This window comes from Homo sapiens, chromosome 3 (assembly GCF_000001405.40).
Source record: "Homo sapiens chromosome 3, GRCh38.p14 Primary Assembly".
NCBI classification, from domain to species: Eukaryota; Metazoa; Chordata; class Mammalia; order Primates; family Hominidae; genus Homo; species Homo sapiens.
In genome coordinates this window covers 125,146,611-125,172,397 of record NC_000003.12, presented here as the reverse complement: position 1 = coordinate 125,172,397, position 25,787 = coordinate 125,146,611, and the positions used below count along the sequence as shown (strand labels likewise).

The 25,787-nt window shown below is 46.9% G+C and overlaps 1 protein-coding gene and 1 non-coding gene across 3 annotated transcripts in view, besides 8 other annotated features; both read left to right on the top strand.

The window, feature by feature from the left end:
• Positions 1-25,787, top strand: part of SLC12A8 (solute carrier family 12 member 8) — a 130,105-nt gene that overhangs the window by 40,351 nt on the left and 63,967 nt on the right. The window lies entirely within an intron of this gene.
• Positions 7,947-8,016: an enhancer, noted in NCBI's record as "active region_20426". NCBI's record gives its function as "activates an Ori minimal core promoter by ATAC-STARR-seq in GM12878 lymphoblastoid cells {active_cell/tissue: GM12878}" and the evidence as "EXISTENCE:reporter gene assay evidence [ECO:0000049][PMID:35858748]".
• Positions 17,469-17,518: a silencer, noted in NCBI's record as "silent region_14662". NCBI's record gives its function as "represses an Ori minimal core promoter by ATAC-STARR-seq in GM12878 lymphoblastoid cells {active_cell/tissue: GM12878}" and the evidence as "EXISTENCE:reporter gene assay evidence [ECO:0000049][PMID:35858748]".
• Positions 17,754-18,255: an enhancer, noted in NCBI's record as "NANOG hESC enhancer chr3:124872987-124873488 (GRCh37/hg19 assembly coordinates)". NCBI's record gives its function as "activates a minimal SCP1, AML or CMV promoter by ChIP-STARR-seq in naive H9 embryonic stem cells {active_cell/tissue: H9 hESC(naive)}" and the evidence as "EXISTENCE:reporter gene assay evidence [ECO:0000049][PMID:30033119]".
• Positions 20,846-20,933, top strand: MIR5092 (microRNA 5092). The gene has a single exon (NR_049815.1). It is a non-coding gene; the product is annotated as a microRNA 5092 (primary transcript).
• Positions 23,078-23,147: an enhancer, noted in NCBI's record as "active region_20425". NCBI's record gives its function as "activates an Ori minimal core promoter by ATAC-STARR-seq in GM12878 lymphoblastoid cells {active_cell/tissue: GM12878}" and the evidence as "EXISTENCE:reporter gene assay evidence [ECO:0000049][PMID:35858748]".
• Positions 23,168-23,357: an enhancer, noted in NCBI's record as "active region_20424". NCBI's record gives its function as "activates an Ori minimal core promoter by ATAC-STARR-seq in GM12878 lymphoblastoid cells {active_cell/tissue: GM12878}" and the evidence as "EXISTENCE:reporter gene assay evidence [ECO:0000049][PMID:35858748]".
• Positions 23,468-23,557: an enhancer, noted in NCBI's record as "active region_20423". NCBI's record gives its function as "activates an Ori minimal core promoter by ATAC-STARR-seq in GM12878 lymphoblastoid cells {active_cell/tissue: GM12878}" and the evidence as "EXISTENCE:reporter gene assay evidence [ECO:0000049][PMID:35858748]".
• Positions 24,688-24,747: an enhancer, noted in NCBI's record as "active region_20422". NCBI's record gives its function as "activates an Ori minimal core promoter by ATAC-STARR-seq in GM12878 lymphoblastoid cells {active_cell/tissue: GM12878}" and the evidence as "EXISTENCE:reporter gene assay evidence [ECO:0000049][PMID:35858748]".
• Positions 25,158-25,227: an enhancer, noted in NCBI's record as "active region_20421". NCBI's record gives its function as "activates an Ori minimal core promoter by ATAC-STARR-seq in GM12878 lymphoblastoid cells {active_cell/tissue: GM12878}" and the evidence as "EXISTENCE:reporter gene assay evidence [ECO:0000049][PMID:35858748]".

Below are 25,787 nucleotides of genomic sequence, written 5' to 3'. Positions count from 1 at the left end.
TAAGACAAGGGGTAACTGACTTCTCCCAGAGCAAACAATCAGAGAGAGACAGACAGGGAGAGAGAGAGAAAGAGGGAGAGGGAGAGAGAGAGAGAACAGAGAAGATGAATTTTTTTTTTTTTTAAGAAGGAGTTTTGTGCTTGTCACCCAGGCCGGAGTGCAGTGGCGGGATCTCAGCTCACTGCAACTGCCACCTCCCGGGTTCAAGTGATTCTCCTGCCTCAGCCTCCTGAGTAGCTGAGATTACAGGCACTTGCCATCATGTCTGGCTAATTTTTATATTTTTAGTAGAGACAGGGTATCACCATGTTGGCCAGGCTGGACTTGAACTCCTGAACTCAGGTGATCCGCCTGCCTCTGTCTCCCAAAGTGCTGGGATTACAGGCTTGAGCCACCATGCCCGGCCTAATTTTCACCTTTTCTTTTCTTTTTTTTTTTTTTTTTACTTTTTAATTTTCTTTTTTTTTTTTTAATTTTTTTTTTTTTATTATACTCTAAGTTTTAGGGTACATGTGCACATTGTGCAGGTTAGTTACATATGTATACATGTGCCATGTTGGTGCGCTGCACCCACTAACGTGTCATCTAGCATTAGGTATATCTCCCAATGCTATCCCTCCCCCCTCCCCCGACCCCACCACAGTCCCCAGAGTGTGATATTCCCCTTCCTGTGTCCATGTGATCTCATTGTTCAATTCCCACCTATGAGTGAGAATATGCGGTGTTTGGTTTTTTGTTCTTGCGATAGTTTACTGAGAATGATGGTTTCCAATTTCATCCATGTCCCTACAAAGGACATGAACTCATCATTTTTTATGGCTGCATAGTATTCCATGGCGTATATGTGCCACATTTTCTTAATCCAGTCTATCATTGTTGGACATTTGGGTTGGTTCCAAGTCTTTGCTATTGTGAATAGTGCCGCAATAAACATATGTGTGCATGTGTCTTTATAGCAGCATGATTTATAGTCCTTTGGGTATATACCCAGTAATGGGATGGCTGGGTCAAATGGTATTTCTAGTTCTAGATCCCTGAGGAATCGCCACACTGACTTCCACAATGGTTGAACTAGTTTACAGTCCCACCAACAGTGTAAAAGTGTTCCTATTTCTCCACATCCTCTCCAGCACCTGTTGTTGCCTGACTTTTTAATGATTGCCATTCTAACTGGTGTGAGATGATATCTTTCAATGGAGAAGTGTCAAAGAATTTGAAGTCACATTTAAAAACCACAATAGTTAATTTTAAAATCAGAAAACAGTTATAAATACACTTAAGTCAAACTATATTTTTCTCTTTATTTTTATTTTAAAGACAAAATCAATGTCTTTGTTTCATAAAAATATAAAATATCCTGAAATTTATCAAGTGACAAGTGAAAGTTTCTTCCCTTCACTCCATTTTCCCACTCCTACTCCCCAGAGGGAGATCGGCACATAGCTTCTCAGTCTATTTTCTTTCTTTCTTTCTTTTTTTGTTTGAGACGGAGTCTCGCTCTGTCACCCAGGCTGGAGTGCAGTGGCGTGATCTCGGCTCACTGCAAGCTCTGCCTCCCAGGTTCACGCCATTCTCCTGCCTCAGCCTCCTGAGTAGCTGGGACTACAGGCGCCCGCCACCATGCTCGGCTAATTTTTTTGTATTTTTAGTAGAGACGGGATTTCACCGTGTTAGCCAGGATGGTCTCCATCTCCTGACCTCGTGATCTGCCCGCCTCAGCCTCCCAAAGTGCTGGGATTACAGGCGTGAGCCACCACGCCCGGCCCCCAGTCTATTTTGTATACATGCACAAGCTCACATGCACATGTGCATGTACATAAACACACACAGCACAGCTCTTTGTAAAAGTGTAATTAAATTCCACATTGTTTTGCTACTCCCCACTCTTTAACATATCATGGATATCCTTCAATGTCAGTACATTTAGGATGTCCTCATTCTTTTAAAACACCCACATAGCATTCCATATTAGAGATTTAAAATACTTTATATTTAAAGATTAGCTTACTGATGAGTATTTAGATTTTTCCAGTTTGTTGCTATCATAAATATTGCTGATGTGTACATCCTGCACAAAAGTTTGAGCTAATTTCTGCAGGATCATTGCTTATAAATAGAATTCACAGGACAAAGGTCAAACACTTTAAAAATTTTGTTAGGTTCTACCAGATTGCCTTCCAATAAAGTTGTTGCATTCTGAACGATCACTAACAGTAGCTAAGAGTTACTGATTCCCCATACCTTGGAAAATATTGAAGAGGCTCAATTTTTCAAGTTTCTGTCATGTGATGGGCAAAAAAATGTAATCTTTTTCTTTTAATTTGCTTTTCTTGAATCATTAATGAGGATTTTTTTTTGTATTTTATTCCCACTTGTATTTTTTTCTTTGAATTGTCTATAATCTTTCCCTGTTTTTGCTTTCTATTTTCCCTATTTTCTTTTCCAGATTTCTTTTTCTACAATCTTGTTCTGCTCTCCCTGTCAGATGCTGCCAGCTTTCTCCAAATGTCTGGTAGTCGCTGTCCATCCATTGTTGGTAATGAGGCACCACAGAGCTGATCGGGAGTTCCATCCACAACCCAAGTGGGTGGCAGTTGTGACAGGTGGGCATCACAGTAGGGTGATTGGTGGCAAACTGCGTTGTTTCATTGGAAGTCCCCCAAATGTTCGTTTCTGCAGGTCTTTCTCTGGTATAGTTCGTATTCTCCAGAGAAGAATTCTCTCATCTCCTGCCAGGGACATGCCCGGCTGCATCAGTTCGGGGAGCAGAGTGGAGGTGGGCAAAGGGGCTGGCAGCCTCATACTCAGGTGCAGAGTGTCATTCGTCAGATGCTTTCCCCTGGCACACCCCTCCCTCCACTGTGTCCTTCCGTCTCAAGTTGTCTTCCCCTGTCACCCTCACTCTATGTCTTGTCTCTCATTTCATCTCCAAACTTCCAATAACAGTGGGTCCTTCTCATCGTCCTCATTTCCTCACCTCCTGACTTCTTGATCTGCAGCCTGGCAGCCTGGGCCCCTCTTCCTTTCTTCACCTCCTGTCCCATCCTTCCAAAAACAAGCATCACTGCACAAGGCTCTCTGAAGACACAGAGCTTCTTCACTGTAAAAAGCTAAATAGCACGATAACTTAATTTAAACAAGACCCTCTCAGGAATTTGTTTGGCTTAAAGCTACTAAAATGCCATTCTGTTGGCTCATATTTTCATTTATGTAAGATGAGTGTCATGCCAAAATGATTTTATTGCCATAGAAGTCAGGCAAATATAGAGAAAATACATTTTAGAAAATAAAGTGACATGTGGCACATTTGAATCCTATGTTCTGCATTTAGAAATGAACTCATGCCTCTCCAAGCTGAAGCTTTTTGGTTATCTAGGAAGACGGTAGCCTGGTCTCTACAGGGTTCCACTCCAGAGCCTGCACTGCACACTCTCTGTCCTGCCATGGCCCTCTGCCATCTGTGGGAGGTGGATCAGTTGGGCCAGGCCAGGCACAGGTCCATCTCACGCTGAATGTAGCAGACGGGAGCTGCTTCTGCTGGGTGAGGGAGGGGGCTTGTGCTTGGCTGTGAGGACAAGGTCACTCCTTTGGAGCTGTAGAAGGGATGGGGCAAGCATGCCTGCCTCTGCTGTCTGCTGAGATTCCTTTATCTCAGGCTCCCATAATCTCCTGATCTTCAACCCCAGGACCTTGACTCATTTCTTATTCTTGAAACTTTTTGCACTGTTGACCACCTATGCTAATTTGAAATGGTCTCTTCCTACTTCTTCCACAATACAACACTGGCTTAGCTCTCTTCTTGGTTTTCCTGTTCCCTGATGTGGGCAGGGAGGCCACGGGGCTCAGTCCTCTGCTATCACGTCACTGTTTTTGTGCCTTTTTCCTCAGAAATAAACTTCCACCATCGCTGCACCAGTGGCTCTCCCCTGCTTCTCCAGCTTTCTTCAATATAGCTCTCATATCGCCAGCTCCTGTCGGATCTCTACCTGGCTGTCTGGGCACCATCTTGAATTAAAGGCAGACAAAGCGAAAGCCCTCAATTTCTCACTCCTCTCTTTAGTTAGCCTTTTCTTCCCCCACTGCCCTTTCCACCAATTAATCAACAAGCCAATAATCAGCTTATCATCTGAATGCCTATCACCATTTCCCCAAGCCTGGAAAACTTGGAAAAGAACTTTTATTTCTCTGTCTAGCTTAAGCTCTTTTATCCTTTACAACCCCACAGTTCTCACCTTAGATTAGCACATGTCATTTCCTCTGTGGGCCATTTAGATAATGTCCAAATCAGAATTTATCCCTTGAGGATCTTCCCTTTGGTTGTCCCCAGCCATTTCCTAAGGGCGACTGACACCTCCTATGCACTGAAGCCAGATCACTTTTCGTAAAACAGTGCTTTGCCTCGGTCACTCTCCAGCTTAAGCAGCATCAGTTGCTTTCTATTGCTATTGGACAAAACCCAAACCCATTCTGTTTGCATTCAAAGAGCCACATGGGCTATCCCTAAATTTCCCATTTGGTTGTATCTCCAATTCTGCCCCTTTCTGAACAATTCTCCGCAAAACGTGTTTATTCACTGATTTATGAAGCATATGAATACAGCTCTCCTTCTAATTCTGGAATTCTCTTCACCATGCCGTATTAGACCTAAGTTCTTGCTCTTGGATGAAGTAGTTCAGGAAATTGTACATGAAGAAGGCATGGTCTGAAATCCAGGATCCCCTGTGTGGTCTTGAGCCATGTTAGATGTTCTCAGCTTTGGTTTTCTCATTGGTTAAAAACAAGGATGAAAATCATATTTACATCTCCAGGCTGCCTTCCTGCCTGTCTTAGCATGGCTGCCAGGCCCAAGGCCCGTGGAGATCCTTTGGGTGAGGGGCTATAACAGTCTGCTCAGGACCCCAGGGACTTTAATGAGGGCATTTGGGACTCTGGTTCCTTGTTAAAATTTTTAAGGCTGGGTGCTGTGTCTAATGTCTATAATCCCAGCACTTTGGGAGGCTGAAATGGGTGGATGACCTGAGGTCAGGAGTTTGAGACCAGCCTGGCCAACATGGTGAAACCCCATCTCTACGAAAAATACAAAATTAGCCAGGTGCGGTGCATGCCTGTAGTCCCAGCTACTGGGGAGGCTGAGGCAGGAGAATCTCTTGAACCCGGGAGGCAGAGGTTGCAGTGAGCCAAGATTGTGCCATTGCACTGCAGCCTGGGTGACAGAGGGAGACTCTGTCTCCAAAAAAAAAAAAAAGTTTTAAAAATGTACTGATGAATGCTTTCAAGTATACAGGAAAGAGTATAACAGATATTCATTTATCCACCACCCGAATTTAATGGATATTATTTTGCCAGTTTTGCTTCAGAGCTCTATTTAACATAAAAATAAATAAAGCATTACAGATGCAGTTTAAGCTGTACCTTCACCGACCCCGTCCTGTTCCCCAAGGGACCACTGTCCGGAGGCTCATCCTCCCCATGTGTTTTTATTTTTCTACCATATGTAGCTGGCCCTAAGTGATGTCGGCTATTGTTCAGCGTTTGAAAATTTTATATACATTGTATCATACCGCATGGATCCTTTCACTTGATAAATAATTTGAATGGTGAGTGAATGATTGTGCAATTTGCTTTCTTTCAGCCAACATATTTTCGCAATTTATCCATGTTAATGCATGTCATGGCATTTCATTCATTTTAACTGTTCTTCGTGCAAGGGAGACACAGAAGAGTTACTGAGTGGTGAAAGTGGTGTGAGAGGGGTTTGCACAGGGCACCCGGGTCTCCTGGCGCTCCCCGTACAGTCGGAGAGTCAGGAAAGACTTTTTAGAGGAGATTGTCTGGGAGCTGAGTGTTAAGGGAGACGGACGCAGAGGCCTTGTCTGCCACCCAGCGGGGCTTGGGCTTTATTTTGGGGGCAGCGGGAAACCTGACTCAAGTTCATATTTTAGAAAGATTGCTCTTGTCCCAATACGGAAACTGGCCCAGGATAGGGATGAAGAAAGGAGGCAGGACTCACTTGAGAGGCTGCTACGGCAACTCAAGAGAGCCAGGCAGGGCCTCTAGGGTGGAAAAGAGACGAGATGGGGGTGGGGTATGGGGTGAGGCCAAGAAAAGGGATAAGGCTGACACCTGACTGGCTGGCTGGTGGCTTCACGTTCTGGGACTCGGGAGGAACATGGCAGCTGGAACAGGTGTGGGGGAAATGGCGAGGCTAGTGTGAGAGGTCAGCCGAAGACAGTGGCCCAGATCTCGGAGGTGTGGTCAGGGCTGGGGTAAAGCGCCCCGCAGCATGGGAGCAGGAGAAGCGGTGGGCTGGGCGAAACGCTTGGGCAGCCTGTGCTGGTTTGGAAGCGGAAAGAGCCATATTTGTTGAGTGAATTTAATTTACCAGAAGAGGCATTTTCACTGTTCTATATATTTTTAAAAAAACCTTTCTGACAAAATTCCAAACATACAAAGTGGGTAAGCTAAAAATCAATATTCTTTACCCAGAAACACACCCAGAATCTCCCCAGGTGGCTGTTCCACTCGGGATGCAGGGAACACATGGATGTTCTGGCTGCTCTCTGGGCCTCGCAGCTGGCCTGGCACTGTGTCTGCGGAGGGCCAGGCCTGGGGTCTTCCTAGGATGCACGGTGCTGGCCTATTATAGGTATTCAGGAAATACTTGTGCAAAGAACGAACACACTGCGTGGAAGGTTGTGATGCCTGACTCAGTGGCCTTTTCTGCCCGGACGGGTGAGGATGGCTCATCCATGGGTGCCTGGAGGGAGCCCTCCATGCCCCCATGGGGAACATCTGCCTGGGTCCCCCTTGGATGGGGCTCTGTTATCCTCCTGAGATGAAGAGCCAGCAGTTAGCTACCACCAAAATTCTGTAGAATCGTCCTCCCAGCAGGGCGTGTCCCCGAGTCTCCTTTGTGGCTCCCTTCGCCATGTGGTGGAAGGGCATCTACATGTCTTTGCCAGGAAGGGTCTTCTGGGCTCCAGTGAGCTAGGGCAGCCTGGAAGGGCCCTGCAGTGCCCGGGATGGCCTCTGTGTGGAGTTGTGATTCTGACTGTTTGTTTTCTGGCCTCTCATGGCTGGAAAGGCTCGTCCCAGGACAGCGGGCTCAACCCTTCCTCACTGCCCACAGAGGTACTAAGAGGAAACACTCTTTTGCGTGAAATGGCTGTGGGATCCTGGCATTCACGTTCTCCTTCTGGGCTGGTGGGGTGGGTGATGCTACACAGCATGGCCTTCCGCACTCTCTCATGTGACCCTCATGATGATGGTGGGAGGGAGGTGGGCTGGGTTGCTTTCCCCTCCTCAAAGATGCAGGAACAGTGACCTAGAGAGGTGAAGTAACTTCAAAGCCCAGGCCTCAGTCTCCAGCCACCTTCCTGGCCCAGCAGAGAGGAAGAAAGTCTCAGAATAGCTGATGAGCGGTTTAAGTGGGGGCCCCAGCCTCACAGCCTGGCCTCCATCCCTGGGGTTCTTAACCCTGTCTGCACATCAGAAGCACCAGGGGAGCCTCAGGTGTGGAAAGAAGAATCCCAAGCTCCACCCCAGACCGAGTAAATCAGCACTCTGGGGTGGGCCCATTGGTCTGTATTTTCAAGTGCTCCTGGTGCTACTGTGCAGCCAGGGTTGAGAACCTTTGCCTTTCAGCCTCTACTCATGCAGGCTCTGCTCTGTTATCTGCAGAGATGGGCGCCCAGGCTCAGTGGAGGAAACCAAGGCAATCCAGGCCAAGTACCTCAGCGCTCAGGCCGGCAAGACCCTGGAGACAAGACTGTCATCCCCTTTACACTGGGCACAGGCTCAGGGCCAGGACTGGAACTCTTCTTCAGTTAGCCCCTGACGTAAGGACTGGCTCCTTTTCCTCCTGCATTTCCCACTCGACCTGCACTCAGCTGAGGGCCACAAGTACAGCAAACACCTGCTTAGTTGTGGGTGTGGATGTGTGTGACGAACTGGGAAGGAGCACCAACTCTGTGTCAGGCACTTTGCATAGATTATTCTATTTATCTTTGAAACAACTGAGTGAGATGGGTGAGATGGTTATTCCAGTTTTACAGACAAGGAAGTCAAAGCCACAGAGAGGTTATGCAACTTTCTTGAGTTTGCATAGTCCGTGGCTCAGCCAGGATTGAAACCCAGAGGCACCTGACTCCAAAGCGTGATTCCCTGGTGCCCCCTGGCACCCGCTGGCTCTGGGGTGCCCTTGGAGGAAGTTGGTGAACTCCTTACTGCTTCCTTTCTCCTTTCGGATCAAGGGGGTCTGAGAACCTGCCAGTCTCCGCTGGGCCCGTTCATGCCTGGTTAAAACTGTTAGAGGTGAGCCTCTTTAAGGGGAAGCAGGAAATGAGATGTGGACTGTGAGGACCAGGAGCTGAGGCGGCTAAAACATACCTCCCCAGTGCCACCAGGAACAGAGGCCATAGACACGCTCAGCTCAGGACCAAACTCAAGTCCCACGTCAGGCAGGGAATGGTGTCCGGCCAGGCAGGGGCGCTCCCAGCTCAGCCCACAGGGCCTCAGCAGCACCTCCTGGAGCACACAGGGTGAGGCCAGCTTGGGAGCCCAGCTGCTCGGCCCCAGCCCTCTGCATCCTTGGCCTTGGGCAGTCTGACCCCAGCATCAGGGAGAATTTCTGCCCCTTTCTTGGATGATTCCTTGGAAGGTTGTGTTAATCAGCAGTATGAAGGGATCACAGGGCCCCTAAAGAGGCAGCAGACCTGCTGGAATTTGTGGCCACAATGAAAGACATGGGAAGCACCAAGTAGCATTTCTTTTTCTTTTTTTTTAATTTTTTTTTTTTTTGAGACAGAGTCTCGCTCTGTTGCCCAGGCTGGAGTGCAGTGGCGCAATCTCAGCTCACTCCAAGCTCTGCCTCCCAGGTTCACACCATTCTCCTGCCTCAGCCTCCCAAGTAGCTGGGACTACAGGCGCCTGGCTAATTTTTTCTATTTTTTTTTAGTAGAGACGGGGTTTCACCGTGTTAGTCAGGATGGTCTCGATCTCCCGACCTCGTGATCCGTCCACCTCGGCCTCCCAAAGTGCTGGGATTACAGGCGTGAACCACCGCACCCGGCTTTCTTTTTTTTATTATTTTTGTTTTTGAGACAGGGTCTTGCTCTCTCACCCAGGTTAGAGTGCAGTGGTGTGATATTGACCTACTGCAGCCTCAACTTCCCAGGCTTAAGCGATTCTCCCACTTGTCAGCCTCCTGAGTAGCTGGGACTACAGGTGTGTACCACCTGTATCTTTTTGTATCTTTTGTAGAGACAGGGTTTCATCATGTTGCCCAGACTAGTCTCGAACTCCTGGGCTCAAATAGTCCACCTGTCTTGGCCTCCCAAAGGGCTGGGATTATAGGCATGAGCCACCGCACCTGGCCCCAAGGACCATTTCAAACCTTTATTAGGTTTCTCCTGTCTTTTTTTCTTTTTCTTTCTTCCCATCCCTTTCTGACTCTGACTCTTTTTCCTCTTCCTCTTTTTCTGGTTCTGATCTCTTTCCCTCTGCCTGTATCCCTAGCTGGACCCTTGGTATGAGCTACTGGATAGGGGTTTCTGGCCAGGCCTGGGATCCTTCCTCTTACTGCCCTCATTCCTCTTTGTGAATCACCATTATGTATGTTAGTTACTACCTAGGTAGGTACTTGTTGTATTGCAGATGCTGATAATGAGCAGGTGTTTGGAGGATCCAGAGTGGGTAGCATTGATGATTTAGTCTTGAAAAGTTTACTCATTTGCTAGGTCCAAGCGCAACATAGGCCAATTACCATGTCCCGCCTGCCACTTGGCTGTGACAAGAAAGTTCTTAAGACCAAAAACAATCTGAATCTGGAAGTCCTCGCTGGTGCTAAGGGAGGGATGAAACCCAGGAGGTGGAGTTGGGGCTGGTGGATCTGCACCACGCTCCTGTTGCTTCCACCCTCCGTTGGCTTTGTCTCTGGTGACGTGATCTAAGGGACCCTGCTGATGGGATTGATACTGGGATCGCAGAAAGGTGGTTTCACTGGGGGCTCCAGGAGTCCCAGGTGCCAGGGTTGCTCCATGAGTGGCCTGTCTCAGCAACATGAGAGCCTTGAGGACTGGAATCTATCTCAGTCAACTCTGTGTCCTCCAACACCAGCACGGGGCTTGCTGTGGGCAGGGGCTCAATAGGTTTGCTAAGTGAATGAATTAAGGATGAATCAAAAACAGTAAAAGAAGTACAAGAGAAAGGCTCTGGAACCCACATGGAGGTGTGGAGAACCCTAGCCCCTTAGCTGCTTATCTGCAGTCGCCTGGGCGATGGATACTCCCCAGGCCTCCCTCCAGAGAGGCGCCAACCTTCCTGTGTTGGCAGCAGTTCGCAGGTATTCCGTCTACACAGAATGGCAGAGGATCGCACAATGCCTGTGTGGAGGCCCAGCCCAGGGTGGGGCCAGCTTGCAAGCCCAGTCAGACCTTCTTGGGAAGAAGGAAGGAAGGAAGGGTTGCAACTGAGAAGAAACTGTGGCTTTGAAAGTTTTCCTCCAGGGTTTTTTTGTTTGCAAGGAAAGGAGATGCTTAGGGAGGCGTTATATACTGGACAAAAGAGTGCGGCCGGGTCAGTGGTGAAATCAGAGTGCATGTCTTTCCCACAGCAGGTCAGCAGGGATAGCTTTGTCTGCGAATGCCCACGTGCTGGGAAGACGTTGCAGCCTCTGATACAACAGCTCTGTGTTCCTTAGATTTTTTTTTTTTTTTTTGAGAAAAGTACATGTGCTTCATATTACCTGTGTCCACAGCACAGATGTAAGTGAGTAAAATTTAAACAAGGATCCAGATAGCTGGGACGAAGAGTCTCTTGACCTGTTCTTTCCGACTGTGCAGGTTTGAGAGAAAGACCAGGGATCTGGCAGTGTTGGCCAGATATTCCTGCAGGTCAGTTGGAATCCAGTTGGGGATTTGCTGATGTGAAACACTCATGAACAGTCACAAAACCAAACATATGGGGCCAGAAAGCAAGACCGACTTGACCTTAAACAAAATCCTCCTTTGCTTCTGAGCTACACGCCAGGCAAGACAAATTTAGGGAAATAGGAATATGGATTTCTATTTGTTAAGAAAGATACAGTTGTTTCTCATCAGGCTTTTCCAGTTCTAGCACATAGGATTGCAGTGACCTCATTTTTGATCAATGGCCAATGCATTCAACTGTCTGGTGGAATAATCTATTAACTGGGCACCTGCCAATTGTCTAGAATAGGAACTAGCTTAGGCATATGTTTTAAAAAATGATAACATTGTTATGAGCCCTGCCGAGACAAGAGGATGGGAAGCCCAAGCAGGTCAGCACTGGCTCTGAAGTCAGTTTGGGATGATAGACTGTGTTTTTCAGTAGACTCACTGCCCTGTGACTGACCTCCCTCTCTCCCTGCATTAATTACATGGTATTTAAAGGCAAACCAACAAACCACTTAAGAGTCCCGGAACCCGGGCATGTGGAATCTGGATGAGTGACCTTCGCTGGGTCACACATAGCCACTGTTGGAACCCAGTTCTCCCAGCTCCCCAGCCAGTGCTCTGGCTGTGCCCTGTGCCCCCGTGCAGCTCCCTCCGAGTCCCATGTGACCACCTGTGTTTATGATGAGTCCTCACTCACATCTGTGTATCGATTCTCTTGCAAAGAGGCCCCTTATGGCACTGGCTGGTGGAGGAGGCAGCTATGCTGTTTGACAGCCCACCAGCAGGCTAAGTTTGCCACTTTTAGGGATCCATGTCTTAATCCTGAGTGTGAAAAGACTTAAGGTGTTATAAGCGTCACCCGCTTCATCTAAACTCGCATTTGCAACCAGTGGCTGATTGAGAGATGGCAAAGGCTGTGGACACCAGGAAGCCATGAGGAGAAGGACCCCCTCAGCAAGGGTCAGGACTTGTGGACCTTTGGATGGAAAGAACTTCACTTGCAGATAGTTATCATGTGTAGTCAGATGCTGCTTATCTGTAATAGTGAGGACAGTGGTAGCTAACCTTTATTGAGCATTACTATATGCCGGGCACTGATTTTTTGTACTTTATATGTATTAATTCATTTAACTCTTACAAAAGAAGTAGATACTATTATTCCCATTTTACAGTGGGGAAACAGAGGTGGTGAGAGGTGAGTACCTCACCTACCATAGGTAGATTTGAGAACCAAGTCGCACTGGGTGCGGTGGCTCACCCCTGTAATCCCAGCACTTTGGGAGGCTGAGGTAGGAGGATCACTTGAGCCCAGGAGTTCGAGACCAGCCTAGGCAATACAGTGAGACTTCATCTCTAGAAAACATTTTAAAAATTAGCTGGACATGGTGGTGCACACCTGTTGTCTCAGGTACTCAGAAGGCTGAGGCAGGAGGAATCACTTGAGCCCAAGAGTTCGAGGTCACAGTGAGCACTCCAGCCTGGGCGACAGAGCGAGAACCCTGACCCTAAAAAAGAAAGAAAGAATATTACCAGTACCATTGCTTCTTTCCAGTTGCATCTCCACAGCAGTCACTCTTAGACTTTTGGTTATTTATGTACCTACTTTCTGTTCATAGAGTCAAATCTGAGTCCCAGAAAAGGGCATGTGTCTGGGCAGCTGGAGGGGCCGTCATAGGCCTGGGGTTCTAGATGACCAGAGGGAGTGCTTGGGAGAGCGAGCTGCTCTGTATTTTTCCTCTAAGCTCCTCATTGCCTACCTCTAGGTCTCAGGAGTGGGTCAAACCAGAACACTGCCTGGGGGCTGGTGGCTCACGCCTGTAATCCCAGCACTTTGGGAGGCCAAGGCCTCCATCTCTCACACCCATGTCCAGAAATACCTGGTGCTGCCAGCTCCTGAGACCTCTGAGCATTTGGAGGGCTAAATCAGATTGGTTCTCAGATTTTCTCTCTGCTGACTTGACATTCCATTTTCTTGGGACTGATATCTGTACCACTGGACTATCTACTTTTTAACTTCTGAAATTTTGTTGCTGTGTTCTACTGTTTTCCCCATTCTTATGGATTTATATCCTTTTAAAAATCTCTTTAATGGGTGCGGTGGCTCTTGCCTCTAATCCCAGCACTTTGGGAGACCAAGGGGGGAGGATTGCTTGAGTCCAGGGGTTTGAGACTAGCCTGGGCAACATAGTGAGACCCCACCTCTAAAAAAAAAAGTTCTTTGATATATATTAGCAGGATGTGGGGAGGGAACGAAATTAGGTACATGTATTCAGTCTGCCATCTTAACTGATAAGTCTGGTATTAATATTTTTCAATGACAAACTAACCATACTTAAAAAATTTTTAATTAGAGAATTTTATTATTTCCTCTCCAAAAAGTATCATTTTTCATTTAGAAAGGTGTATTCGTATATCTCTTTGTGAGAGATCATTGTCTGTCTTGCTCTGGCAAACTTTACAGTCCTAGATTCAGGACTGTGATCACTGTGAATTCTACCCCTGATTCTAGGGACCATTTGTGGAAATCTGAATAGTGCTTTGTAAACAGATTTCTGAGTCTTTTTGAAGCCATTTGGGATGGTATCATGGAAGAGATATGAAGAAGGTATTTTCTCTTGGTGGGTTGCTGCAATATGATTTCTGACTTAGTGTCATCATAAATATTTGAGACTACTTGTTATCTTCAGTAGGTGTTACCTTATGGGCTGATACTTAATCACAGCAGTCAGAAACTGTGAATTTGCATGGTGACACCCTTCCAAAGTGACTGTAAGAGCCTTCCTCCCTGACTTTTGAGGATTTGCAAACAGCAGAGAAGCAAGTTTTTAGGTATCACTCCAGGGAAAATAGTGATTTCATGCTTGAAATATGTGGGAACAATATCTAAAGAAAAAGCTTAAGTTGTCTAAAGAGGATCTTATAATAGTTGGATACACTTATAATTAGAAAAGCCCACTGGGGGCCCAGGCACTGTGGCTCACACCTATAATCCCAGCACTTTGGGAGGCCGAGGTGGGCAGATCACTTGAGGTCAGGAGTTGGAGACCATCCTGGGCAACATGGTGAAACCCCGTCTCTACTAAAAATACAAAAATTAGCTGGGCGTGGTGGCACATGCCTGTAATTCCAGCTACTCGGGAGGCTGAGGCAGGAGAATTGCTTGAACCTGGGAGGCAGGAGCTGTAATGAGCCAAGATCGCGCCACTGCACTGCAGCCTGGGTGACAGAGCGAGACTCTGTCTCAAAAAAGAAAAAAAAAAAGGAAAAGCTAATTTGACATTGGGGCTTACTAGGAACAAATATAAGCAGAGAAATGGCCTACTTAGAAATGAAACCTTAGATTGAAACAAGAAAATGTATTTATTCCTGAAAAGATTTTCCACAGTGAGTTGTCAAGTTGTGTCTTGCTAACATTCGGTCCCTGATTCCTTCATTTCCGCCATCCTTCCTTGGCTCATGTGCCTCTTCATCTCTGTATTTCTTTGTCTCCTCCCCACCTAGATCTCCCTCTCTCCTCCACTCTAATCAGTTCACTGAAAAACTTTTCCTGAGTCCCACTATGTGCAGAACCAAAGCTAGAAATTGAGGATACACACAAGAATAAGGCACAGGCTCTCCCCTAACCAAACAATCACCATTTCCTGGGTCAGTATTTTAAAGGAAAATATGCAAGTTGCAGGTGGAGGAGAGTGGAAGAACCTTGACCTTGGGGTTTCTGAGATGTCTTCAAGGAGAGGGTGATGCGAGTGTACCCCAGAGGTCACACAAGTGTTCACCTGGTAGTAAACTGGGGATGGTGATCCCAAGGAACAGGAACAGCATATGTGAAGACTCAGCGCGCATGGAAGAGTTCAGAAAGTGCAGGAAGGTAGGTGTGCTGGAGCTGAGTGTGCTGGGACAGGGTTTGGGGACAGAGGGCCAGAAGGGTACAGAGCCTTTTCAGGTTCAAGAGAGAGTTCTTCCCAGTTCCCTGAGGTGATGGTGCTTCAAAGCGAGGAGGCAGAGGGAAGCTCAGGGAACTTTCAGCTTCTAGGGCTTCCAGGATTGGCTTGTATCACAGGTCTTGGTGAAAAGCAGAACAGTAGCTTGTCTCTGTTCAGATCACAGCCGTTATTTTTCACTTATGACAGGTTTATCGGAACATGGCCCCACTGAAAGTCAAGGAGCATCTGTATTTATAATTAGTGTATTTCCTTCCAGTATTCTTGCCTTGCATATTTGTATTCATATATGTGAGTAGATAGTACCTACTAAATTATAATTTTAACTTATTTTTATTAAGAACTATACATATTTAATTTAAAAATATATCTAAAAGCTATTTCCTTATAGCCTTTTTTTCATCCTTTTTCGTTTTAAAGCATAATTGAGCTCACATAGTATATAATATTTTTGAAGTTAAAACTAATGTAGCAACATTCAGAAGTCCCAGATGGAATGTACTATAAACAGAGGCTTGATGACATATCTTGAGAATTTTCTTAGTCTCTCTAGTTAGAAAAGCAAGCAAACAAACAAACAAAATAACCAGAAATAAGTTTAAAATTCAACATGCGTTTTAAAGATACGGAAATCATAAAAGCTGAGCAAAAGGTCAATAGGCTTTTCTTTGAAGCAGGGAAGGGGTTGAATCAGATTTGCTCTTTGGAGCCCTGCCTGGAGTTAGGGTAGGCACAAATGGGGAGGGACTGAGGCTGGGGCCCTTCAAACGTGGTTGCAATTGTCCAGTCTAGAGAAGACACAGCCTGGACTGATGCAGTCGAGGTGGGGTAGAGATGAAGACCAGATGCAGTTTGGGAGACAGTTTCGTGATCTCATTTTCTTGATTTGTTTGTACATGCCTCTTAATTGTTTCCATTCCCGCCCTTCTCATCCCACCTCTCATCCCATCTTTGGTCCACCACCGCCATCGGGAACATCCACATACTTGTTAAACACAAACAAAATTATTTTAACCAATGAGAACTTTGATTGATTTTTTGTCTCGTTAGTTTATAATCCAAAACAATGATGAAAACATTTAAAAGGGTCCAAGATCCTGCCATAAGTATTTACTTTTCTCGCGCCACTGGCTACATGAGTGGGTGCACACATAGACCCATGCATGATCACACACACTGATGGCCTGGCCCTGAGATACTGGAGACGAAGCAGCCGGCACCATGTCTGGCACATGAACTCAAACACTTCACTTCCTCTGGTGAACCTTGGCCAGCCCCATCCATGATTCAGTGACGAAATGCCTTCTCACTCTGAACTAAATTCATTTGCACGGTTTCTAGCGTGCTTTGTATTTTTAGTCCTTTTCCACACATGGCCTCTCCCATTGGATGGCACACTCCCTCATCACAGCACTACAGCTCAGCCACATGCCCCGTGAGAGCATGATGAGGCAGCCGGCTGGGGTCTCTGCCTGGCCCGGGGCCTGGATTATCTCTGTATGTGGCCACCATTTGCATGTGAAAATCACGTCTGGCTCACAAGTCTGTGACCCAAACAATAGTCTCTTTCACCCTGAGCATACGGTCTAGGGATGTGAAGGGAAATTTCCCTTGCTTCTCTGAGAATATGTGCCACTTTTCTGAAAAATTAAAAATAATTGGAGTTACGAAGTTGGGTTTTTTTTTTTTTTTTGGCAAGAGTAAGCAATAATGATTAAGAAAAGTGGTTCATCAACTGTTACCCTGCTCTTAGTCCTTTCAAACTTCCTTCTTTTTTTTTTTTTTTTTTTGAGACAGAGTCTCGCTGTGTCACCCAGGCTGGAGTGCAGTGGCGTGATCTTGGCTCACTGCAAGCTCCGCCTCCCAGGTTCATGCCATCCTCCTGTCTCAGCCTCCCGAGTAGCTGGGACTACAGCTACTTTTTTGTATTTTTAGTAGAGACAGGGTTTCACCGTGTTAGCCAGGATGGTCTCGATCTCCTGACCTTGTGATCCACCCGCCTCAGCCTTCCAAAGTGCTGGGATTACAGGCGTGAGCCACCGCGCCCGGCTCAAACTTATTTCTAATAAGCCATCAGAAAATTATGTCAGATGTCTACATCAATTCCTGCATCAGAATCTCACAGTGTCCTTATCAGACATTCTTTACCAAACAGCCTCGCCGAAATTAATACTTTTTGAAACACTGAGTATATTTCTGCTTGTAAGCAGAGAAGAAAGTAAGGTGGAATAATTTATTAAGATGAGAAAAAAGTCCTGGGTCAATTCACATTGCTGTACATTTCTTGAATTTAAGATTTGAAGGTGGTGCGGTGAGCAAGGGAAGTAACACAGTAGCTTCCACCCCGCCACCCACGGTTTCACTTTCCATGGTTTCCATTTCCCGTAGTCAACCACAGTCCGAAAATACTAAATGGAAAATACCAGAAACAAACAGTTCATACGTTTTAAATTGCCCGCCATTCTGAGTAGCATGATGAAATCTTGCACCGTCTCACCCGGGACATGAACCCTGCTTTGTCCAGTGTGGCCACACCGTACACACCGCCTGCCATCAGTCACTTAGTACCTGGCTTGGTTATCAGGTCAACTGTCAAGTAGCAGAGGGCTTGAGCTCGAGGCCAATAATAGCCAAGTGCTATGTCACGATGCCTGCATCATCCGCCTCACTTCTCGTCACGTAGGCGTTTTATCATCTTACATCATCACAAGAAGAAGGGTGCATACAGCATGGTAAGCTATTTTGAGAGAGAGACGTTCACATAACTTTTATTATAGTATATTGTTAGAGTTGTTCTATTTTATTATTAATTATTGTGGTTGATATCTTCTTGTGCCTAATTTATAAATTAAACTTTACCATAGGTATGCATATATAGGAAAAAACGTGGTGTATATAGGGTTAGGTACTATCCTTGGTTTCAGGCATCCCCTGGGGGTCATGGGATGTACCCCTAATGGATAAGGGAGGGGGGATACTGTAATAGCTAATGTTTATTGAGCATTCTGTTTGTGCCAGGTGCTATACTAAGCATTATACATCTCACTATATCCTATCTATGGAGTCCCTGTGTGTTATTGTCCCCATGATAAAGATGAGATAACTGATGTTCAGAGAGGTTAGATTGCCCAGCAGTTATCCAGCTGGTAAGCAATGGAGCCAGAATTTGAGCCCTGGCTTCTGACCTCAGGGTCCATGTCCTTAACCATCAAGCTCACATTGTTTCCAGCTGCTGGGGCCGCCTGCTCTTCACTGACTGAATTAGAAAACAAGCAGGACACATAAGTCCCATGTAGGGCATGGCATTGAAAATGCAGTTTGCGAAGCTGCTGACTAGTGAAGTGAAAGGGGACGGTAGTTAAAGTATTTTGCACTGGGAGACTTGAAGCCAGCATTCTCTCTACCACTGTCTGTGGGACCCTAGGCCAGCACCCCAATATCTGTGGGTCTTCAGTTTCCCCATAATAAAACTTGATTTTAAAATTCATCATCTGGCCGGGCATGGTGACTCATGCCTGCAGTCCCAGCACTTTGGGAGGCCAAGGTGGGTGGGTCACCTGAGGTCAGGAGTTCGAGACCAGCCTGGCCAACATGGTAAAACCCTGTCTCTACTAAAAATACAAAAATTAGCTGGGTGTGGTGTCACGCGCCTGTAACCCCAGCTAGTCCAGAGCTCAAGGCCAATAATAGCCAAGTGCTATGTCACGATGCCTGCGTCATCCGCCCCACATTGTCTCGTCACATAGGCATTTTATCATCTTACAGCATCACAAGATTCTCCTGGTGAGGCAGGAGAATCGCTTGAACCTGGGAGGTGGAGGTTGCAGTGAGCCAAGGTCACACCACTGCACTCCAGCCTGGATGAGACAGTGAGACTCCATCTCAAAAAATATATAAATAAATAAATAAATACATAAATTTCATTATCTCTTAGAAGTCAGTGGGCTGCCCAGCCAGGGGCAGAACTTAGTGCGACACTTGCCCAACTCCTCGTATTTGTCTTGTACTTCCCAGCATGGGAGATGTGTCCTAAATGAAGAAGCACAAGAACATGCTATTGAGAAGAGTCCCTCAATTGCGGCCATCCTTTGGTGTTTCTGAAAGTAACAAAACAAGGCATCAGATATAGCAGAAAGAAGCACTGGTGGTAGCTGAGAGAGTTTGATAGGCAGCTACAGAAAATCCCCATACCTTGGATGTTGATGGCACGCGGTGCTGAGTAGGAAATGCAGAGGTCATTGTTTTTCAGGCTGTAAAAACCTCAAGCACAGGAATCCCATATTATTGCCGTTTTATCCTGGCATCTTGGAAAGTACCGGGCACATGGTTGGCTCTCGGTTGCACTTTGCTGAGTGACTGACTGGGAAACACACCAGAGTGGATCAGCATCCAGTGAGGCAGATGGATGGACACAGTCCTAGGAAACGTAATCTGCGCAGCTTGTGAAAGTGTGATGAGAGTTGCAGGAGAATGGAGTTGATGGAACAGATTGTCAGAGCACTGTCTCCAAAGAAGAGGAGTGGCAGGGTGGACGGAGCGCCTGGCTGCACACACACCTGTTCCGCCTCCCTTTCTTTCTTCCTCCCATCCTCCCACCCTATAGGTAGTCATCAAAGCCTACGGGGTGCCAGGAGGTAGGCTTTGGGATACAGCGGAGAATAGGATAGCGATGGTCCCTGCCCTCATGAAACAGGGAATCCATGTCAGCAATATATGCTTTTCTGATTAATGCTATCAGAACACATGCTTCTTGTTAGCCGTGTGGCTGTGGGCAAGTCACCGAAACCCTTTGAGTTTGTCCATCTGTCTAATGGAAAGAAATACCCTCCTGGAAGAGTGTTTTTTAAAGGATTAGAAATAATATGTCCAAAGTAGTTATTTTTTCTTTGAGTTTGGGGGGAGGGGTGGTTCCTTCTCTCTCTCCCCCTGCCAACTGTTTTCTAGAAAATCAGCACTTACTGGATATTGTAGAGAATAATTTTGGGGTTTTATTATTTTGAAGACGGTTTCTTCTGTTAAACTTCTTCCTGCATCCTCTTGAACTGGCAGAAATAAAAATGCTAGACTTTTAAAGATATGACACTCTAGAATCCTGATTGCTAAAAATGAAAAGCATTCTAAAGTAAATAAAATAACAAATTCAAACAGTAAATCTGTAATGACCGAATGAGCACCATTTTAAACTCACACGTACCAGAGGTGATCGTGGTATGAGGAATGAGCATGGTACATTCTGAAGCTCCTGAAGTAATCAAGGGACTTCTGTTATGGCCTAAAGCAAACAAACAGCCACCATACAAACCTATATACATTTCTATTTCTTTTCCCTCAAATTTCTACTTGAAGCAAAAGGAAAGTCACTTCTTGCTTTCTCTGCCCCAGTAACTGTGGGTGGCAGCCAGTTTTTGGAGCAGTTCTGGAGCAATTACTCTGCAATCCCAAATTCCTAGTGTATGAACAAATCTGCTCAGACATTATCAGGGAAGAAATACTGGAACCTGGATTTTAGTCCTGGCTCTGCCACTTTCTCAATCCTTGACCTTGGGGAAATCACCTAAGCGTCAGTTTCCTCCTCTAGAAAATAGAGAATAATAATATCTGCCTCACAGATTATTTAGAGATTAAATGATGTAATAAAACGTATTTCCTCAATTCCAAGTCACCATCAATTTTAATTCACACCAAATTTTCAGGTGGAAAAAAGCCTTACATTAAGTCCTCATGTTGCTTGTAAGACATCCAAATTTCAGAAAATCAAAATGTTTTTAAAAAGTTATACTCAAAATGAGCAACTACTATAAATACGATTGCCTTGGCAAAGGAAGATTCTAAATAAACGTAAGACAGTCTTGTTATCGTGGTCATCCTCCCTGGGCGGAGGATCTGCAATCTGTGCCTGGGTTTCCCTGTCGCCACCACTCTGCTAAGCAGCCGGAAGCAGGGCTGCCCCTTCAGCATTTCTCTTGAGACCTACCGCACCCCCTCACAATCCCAGATCAGATGCCAAAGCCAGTGGGGACTGGACAACATGATGAGCCCAAACCAATCCACGCTGAGCTTGGCATCTGATTTGGGATTCTCCACCTTGCAGAGAATCGGAAAGTATCTCCACAATTTCTTTTGGACCGAGCTGTTCTTCCCTTTCCATGAGTTTCTTTTACACCTGACCTAGAGCCTCTCAACCATTTTTATGTCACTGCACAGCCAGAAAATGATAATATTTGTACAGCACTCCAGGGAAAAGGGAGGAACAGTTGGGCCAAGAGGCCAATGACTTCACCATCTGGAACCCATTCAGGGCATTCCAGCGTGGCCCACCTTCTCCAATTAGCCTCCTCAATGAAAAAGAAAGAGGGGGAGGAAGAGGAAGAGAAAAGAAGAAGAAAACCCTGGTAATGTTCACTGTTTTTTGCTTTAGAATTATAAGGGCACTTTAGTTTTTCGAAGCGTCTTTATGATAATGGTCTGGTATAGTGATCAAAATACCCTTGGGCTTGAAGTGCCATAAACAAACAAGTTGTGATACTTGCGTGTGTATCAGAATCCCTGAGGAAACTTGGTGTGTGTGTGTGAGCGCGTTTCCTAATAGCCTGAGGCCCGGGAATCTGGATTGTAAGAAGTGCTCCAGGTAGTTTTTTATCATGATTTTTAAGTCAGCTCTGGGAACTACTGTCTTCGAGGCCCTTGGAAGGTTTCTCCTGGCACTCTACCTTTCATGTTCTGCATTGCTCATTCTATTTTCCCCTGTAAAGGTAGCCTTTTTGATGCAGTAGTCCAAACCTCGTCTTGCGGTGCCCTTGTATATGTGCTCAGTCCTACCCCCTAGTGTACAAGAATCGCACTGCAAGGAGTAGATAATCAGCTGACCTGTGGGACCAGAAGCTCAGCCTCTCAGGCTTGCAATGTTCTCTGAGAACAGTGTGTCTCAGCGTTTGGTTTGGAGATTTCCTGTATCGGAATTATCTAGAAACTCATTAGAAAAACAGTCTGATCCATACTCTCAAATTTTGGACTAGTAATCTACATTTTAGGTAAGCATACTGGAAATTCTTATGTACATTCAGATTTGGAAACTACTACGTATATGGGATTTACTAATCCTATTGATCTGTAAAGGGTTAATTTGACTCACACATTGTTACCTGTCTTTGACAGGCCCCTTACTGCGAAATAACCATCCATGTACACAATGGACCCCTTGGAGTAACCAGCCTTGCTTCCAATATGACTGTTGGGGTAGTAACCAGGAGAAGGTGCTTAGGCCCTAAATTCTGTCACTGAAGCCAATGGTATGATTAAAGCTCAATGTGAAGACTTGAATACAACACATCCCACCCTCATTTTAGTTTCATCTGGCAATTGAGGTGTTTTTGCTTTGGCCATTATGGGTCTCCCAATCAGAGTGGAGCTTCTAGAATAAGTATTTTTAACATAGAGTCCTTGAGCCCCTGAAGTTGCATGCAAAATTGTATGTAAATAAGTGTATTTTTCTAGGACAGGGTTCAGAACTACTGCCAGATTCTCAAAGGCATTCTTGACCTGAAGGGGGAAAGATTAAGGATTAGAACAGAGGTACTTTTCAGGGTTAGAACAGTGAAGAATTATAAACAAAGGCTCATGTCCAGGTAAGGATTTCTGAGCCTCTGCAGACCAAGCCTGACCAATTGTCCAGCATTCCCCAAAATCCACCTGCTCTCCCTCCTCTTTTCTTTGTGCCTCATCCTTTCTTCCTTTATGCTTTTCTCTCTCTGTTTTTTCTCCCCAATCCTTTTGTCTCTCTTTTTCCCCTCTGCCCCCACTTTGCCATCTCCCCATCCCTCCTCACCTTCCATTTCTTCTCTTTCTCTCCCTTCCTGGCCTGAATAGGAAGCAAAGCATGTTCTTTGACTTGTTCTACCTGTTGAATATTTTCAATATTCCACTTATTTTATGTTGGTGGTTCTTGTTTGTAAAATTATGTGAGTTGCACATTTAATATTTCTCTGGCTAGATGAGAAACTAATGCTTTAGGCATCCTTGTTCCTTGATTGTTTGGATCCAGCCCTTGTTAGAAGGCTTTCTGTGGGCAGTGGTCCCCATCACCCCTGGCCAGCAGCAGGCATGCCTTAGGCCTCCCTCTTGTTCTGAGATTGATTCTGATGAAGAAAAACTGACTGACCAGAATCCCAGACCCCTGGCTCTGAGCCCCTACCCTGATCCCAAAACCCAGCTGTCTCTACTGGATTATTCTCATTTGCTGGCTTTGGCTTGGGGATCAGAGAAAGGAGCCATGGGCTGAAGAGGCCGTGGGACCTGGTCAAGTTTGCAGAAGGAAGTGCGAGCGAGCGCTGCCCAGCTTCGACCCCCGAGTCTGCTCCCACTCTGTGACTCTGTGAGCAGGAGGGATGGGCTGGCCCGACTCCCTGGCTGGGCGTTCCGGGTATGGATGCCTGCCACATGCAGTCACCAGCTGGGGAGGGCCCTTCCACACTTCTGAGCCTCGCCCGCCTCAGCCCTGAGCAGCTGGGAGTTCCGAGGAAGCGATGGGTGACCGCTGAGGGGTGGGCCGACACATCCTGCCTGTGCCCCCCCGCTGCTGGTTTGTGTTCCTCTCACTGCACGTGGCAGGTGTCCCCTGGCTGTGGGGAATTTGCAGATTACTCTCCATGTGACTGTAGAAGCGTCCCTGAAGGCACTTCTGGCTTCACCATTTTGGGGGTACCTCCTGGGGTAGGAGGCAGGATGGTGGGTCTGTATAAAGCACAAAGTGGGATATGTGCCCTCAAGTCACTCACATTTGGGTGGGGAGCAAGGCAGCCAGCTACAGACCCAGAGAACAAGGCAGGAAGTCCTGGGCTGACAGTGGGCATGCAGAGAGTGGGCTCTGTGGTGCGAGCAGCCTGTGAGTGCTGGCCGAGGGTTGGGGGTGGGAGTGAACCCAGAGGTGGAGCTGGCAGGAGAGTGCCGCCTCCTGAGGCTGGCAGGAGATGATGCCCCAAATTGCAAATTTGAAAGTTAAATAATATACAAAGGACCCACGTGGGCCCCCCACCCCACTCTTCTCCCCACTACCCTCACTCCAGGGCCCAGACAAGGCCAGTGCTAGAGCTTCCAGGCCTGCTCGCAATCCAACTTACATGTCCCTCTTGCCTGGATCTTCATGCTCCCTGGGGACTGAGGCATGCACCTTCATCTTCAGGGACGTGTTTTGAAGAAATATTGAGGCCTCTGCCACAGGGTTGACCTAACCCCAACACATAGGTGCCCACACCCCAGGCCAGCACTAGGCAATGGGGCAGCCTCTAGACATCTCCCTGGGGATTGCATTTGCCTTTAAATCTCTGGGCCCCATAGCGAGTTGGCAAGTGGCTGTCCTTGTTGGCCTAATGTGAAAGATTGCATCACATATACTACAGTTGTCAGAGACATGGCTTTGGAGTCAGACCTCCAGGTTCAAGCTCCAGCTCAGCTATAATTTGCTGCATAGAATTGGTCAAGGTAGTTAACCTCTCTGACCTGCTCTCTTTGTTTCTGAAAAGCAGGTAATAACGCCTGCCTCGCTAGGTTGCCAAAGCATAAAATAAGATAATGTTTATAAGAGGCCTAGTGTCATGCCTGGCACAAAGTAGGTGCTCAATAAATAATCATTGTCATTATCATTGCTTGTCCTGGAAGAGTAGGTCCCTGGAGGCCCTGGGTTATACTCTAAGGCAGTGCTTCAGGATCTGGGGATCTTGTTAAAATGAAGGTTCCAATGCCGCAGGTTGGGGACCATACTTTGCATAGCAAGGTAGTTTCCTGGGGCACCTCAATCACGTTCAGTCAGGAGCAGCAGCATCCTTTCTCCTCCTCTTGCTCTCCCCTCGTGCTCTCTGGGTTGATCAGTCATCAAAACACTTCCCAGGCTGTCCAGGCAGGATGTAGGGCAGGATGTATGGTCACTGGACTCATCCAGCACCCCAGTGACTGCAGCCACCTGCGGATGAGGAGGGGATCCGGAGGGAGGAGGGAACTTGTCTCTGACCTTGAGGATTCCTAATCTGACGGGGAGATGGTACAAACACACCTCACTCTCCATAAGCGCCTGCAGAAAAGGCACACAACGGCTTGCAAAGGAACACACAGAGGCACAGGAAGGGGCCACTTCTGGTTTTCTCCTCTCAGAGCTAGAAGGCTGAGAGCAGAGTGCCCCTGCCAGCCCCACAAAGGGAAGCGGAGTGCAGCCTGAAGCTGCAAGGTCAGGTGATATGGCAGTAGCCCAGGGCAGCCCGGGTTAAAGGCACACTCACTCAAGGCCGGCTCTCATTTAGTGGCACCGCAGGTTAAATGCTGCTCCCAGGCCTTGGGTCCCAGTGACCAGGAAAGTTTTGAAAATGAGAACATGTGTTGACCCTAGGACTAGGACAACAGCGCCCTTGATTTTGCGGAAGTCTTCCCTGGAAGTTGGGCGTGCTTGATATTGAGACGCTGCACTTTGTGTTTCTTGACGGCTTTGCTGCAAATTCTCACACACCTTGCCCTTGAGTAAAACCCCAAGGATTCCAGACGTCGGCAAACTCCCGAGCACAACGGTCCTTTCCACCTAAACCCCTGAGCACACAGTGATTTCTGCCTACATTGGTGACTGGTGGTCAGATGGCTTGCTGGGCAGCTTCCCCGCCCTGCTTCTCGTGGAGGAAGGGCCTCCCTGTGGTGGGAAGAGGTGTTCCCTGTGGCAACAAACAGAGACCTTGTCTCTACAAAAAATGTACAAACTTAGCTGGGCATGGTGGCGTCAGCCTGTAGTCCCAGCTAGTCGGGAGGCTGAAGTGGGAGGATCACTTGAGCCATGGGAGGTGGAGGCTGCAGTGAGCCGTGATCATGCCGCTGCACTCCGAGGGAGGCCACAACTAGTAGGCAGGGCCTGTGGCTCTGTCCTCACCTTCCACCATCCTTGGCCAGGAAGCCCCCT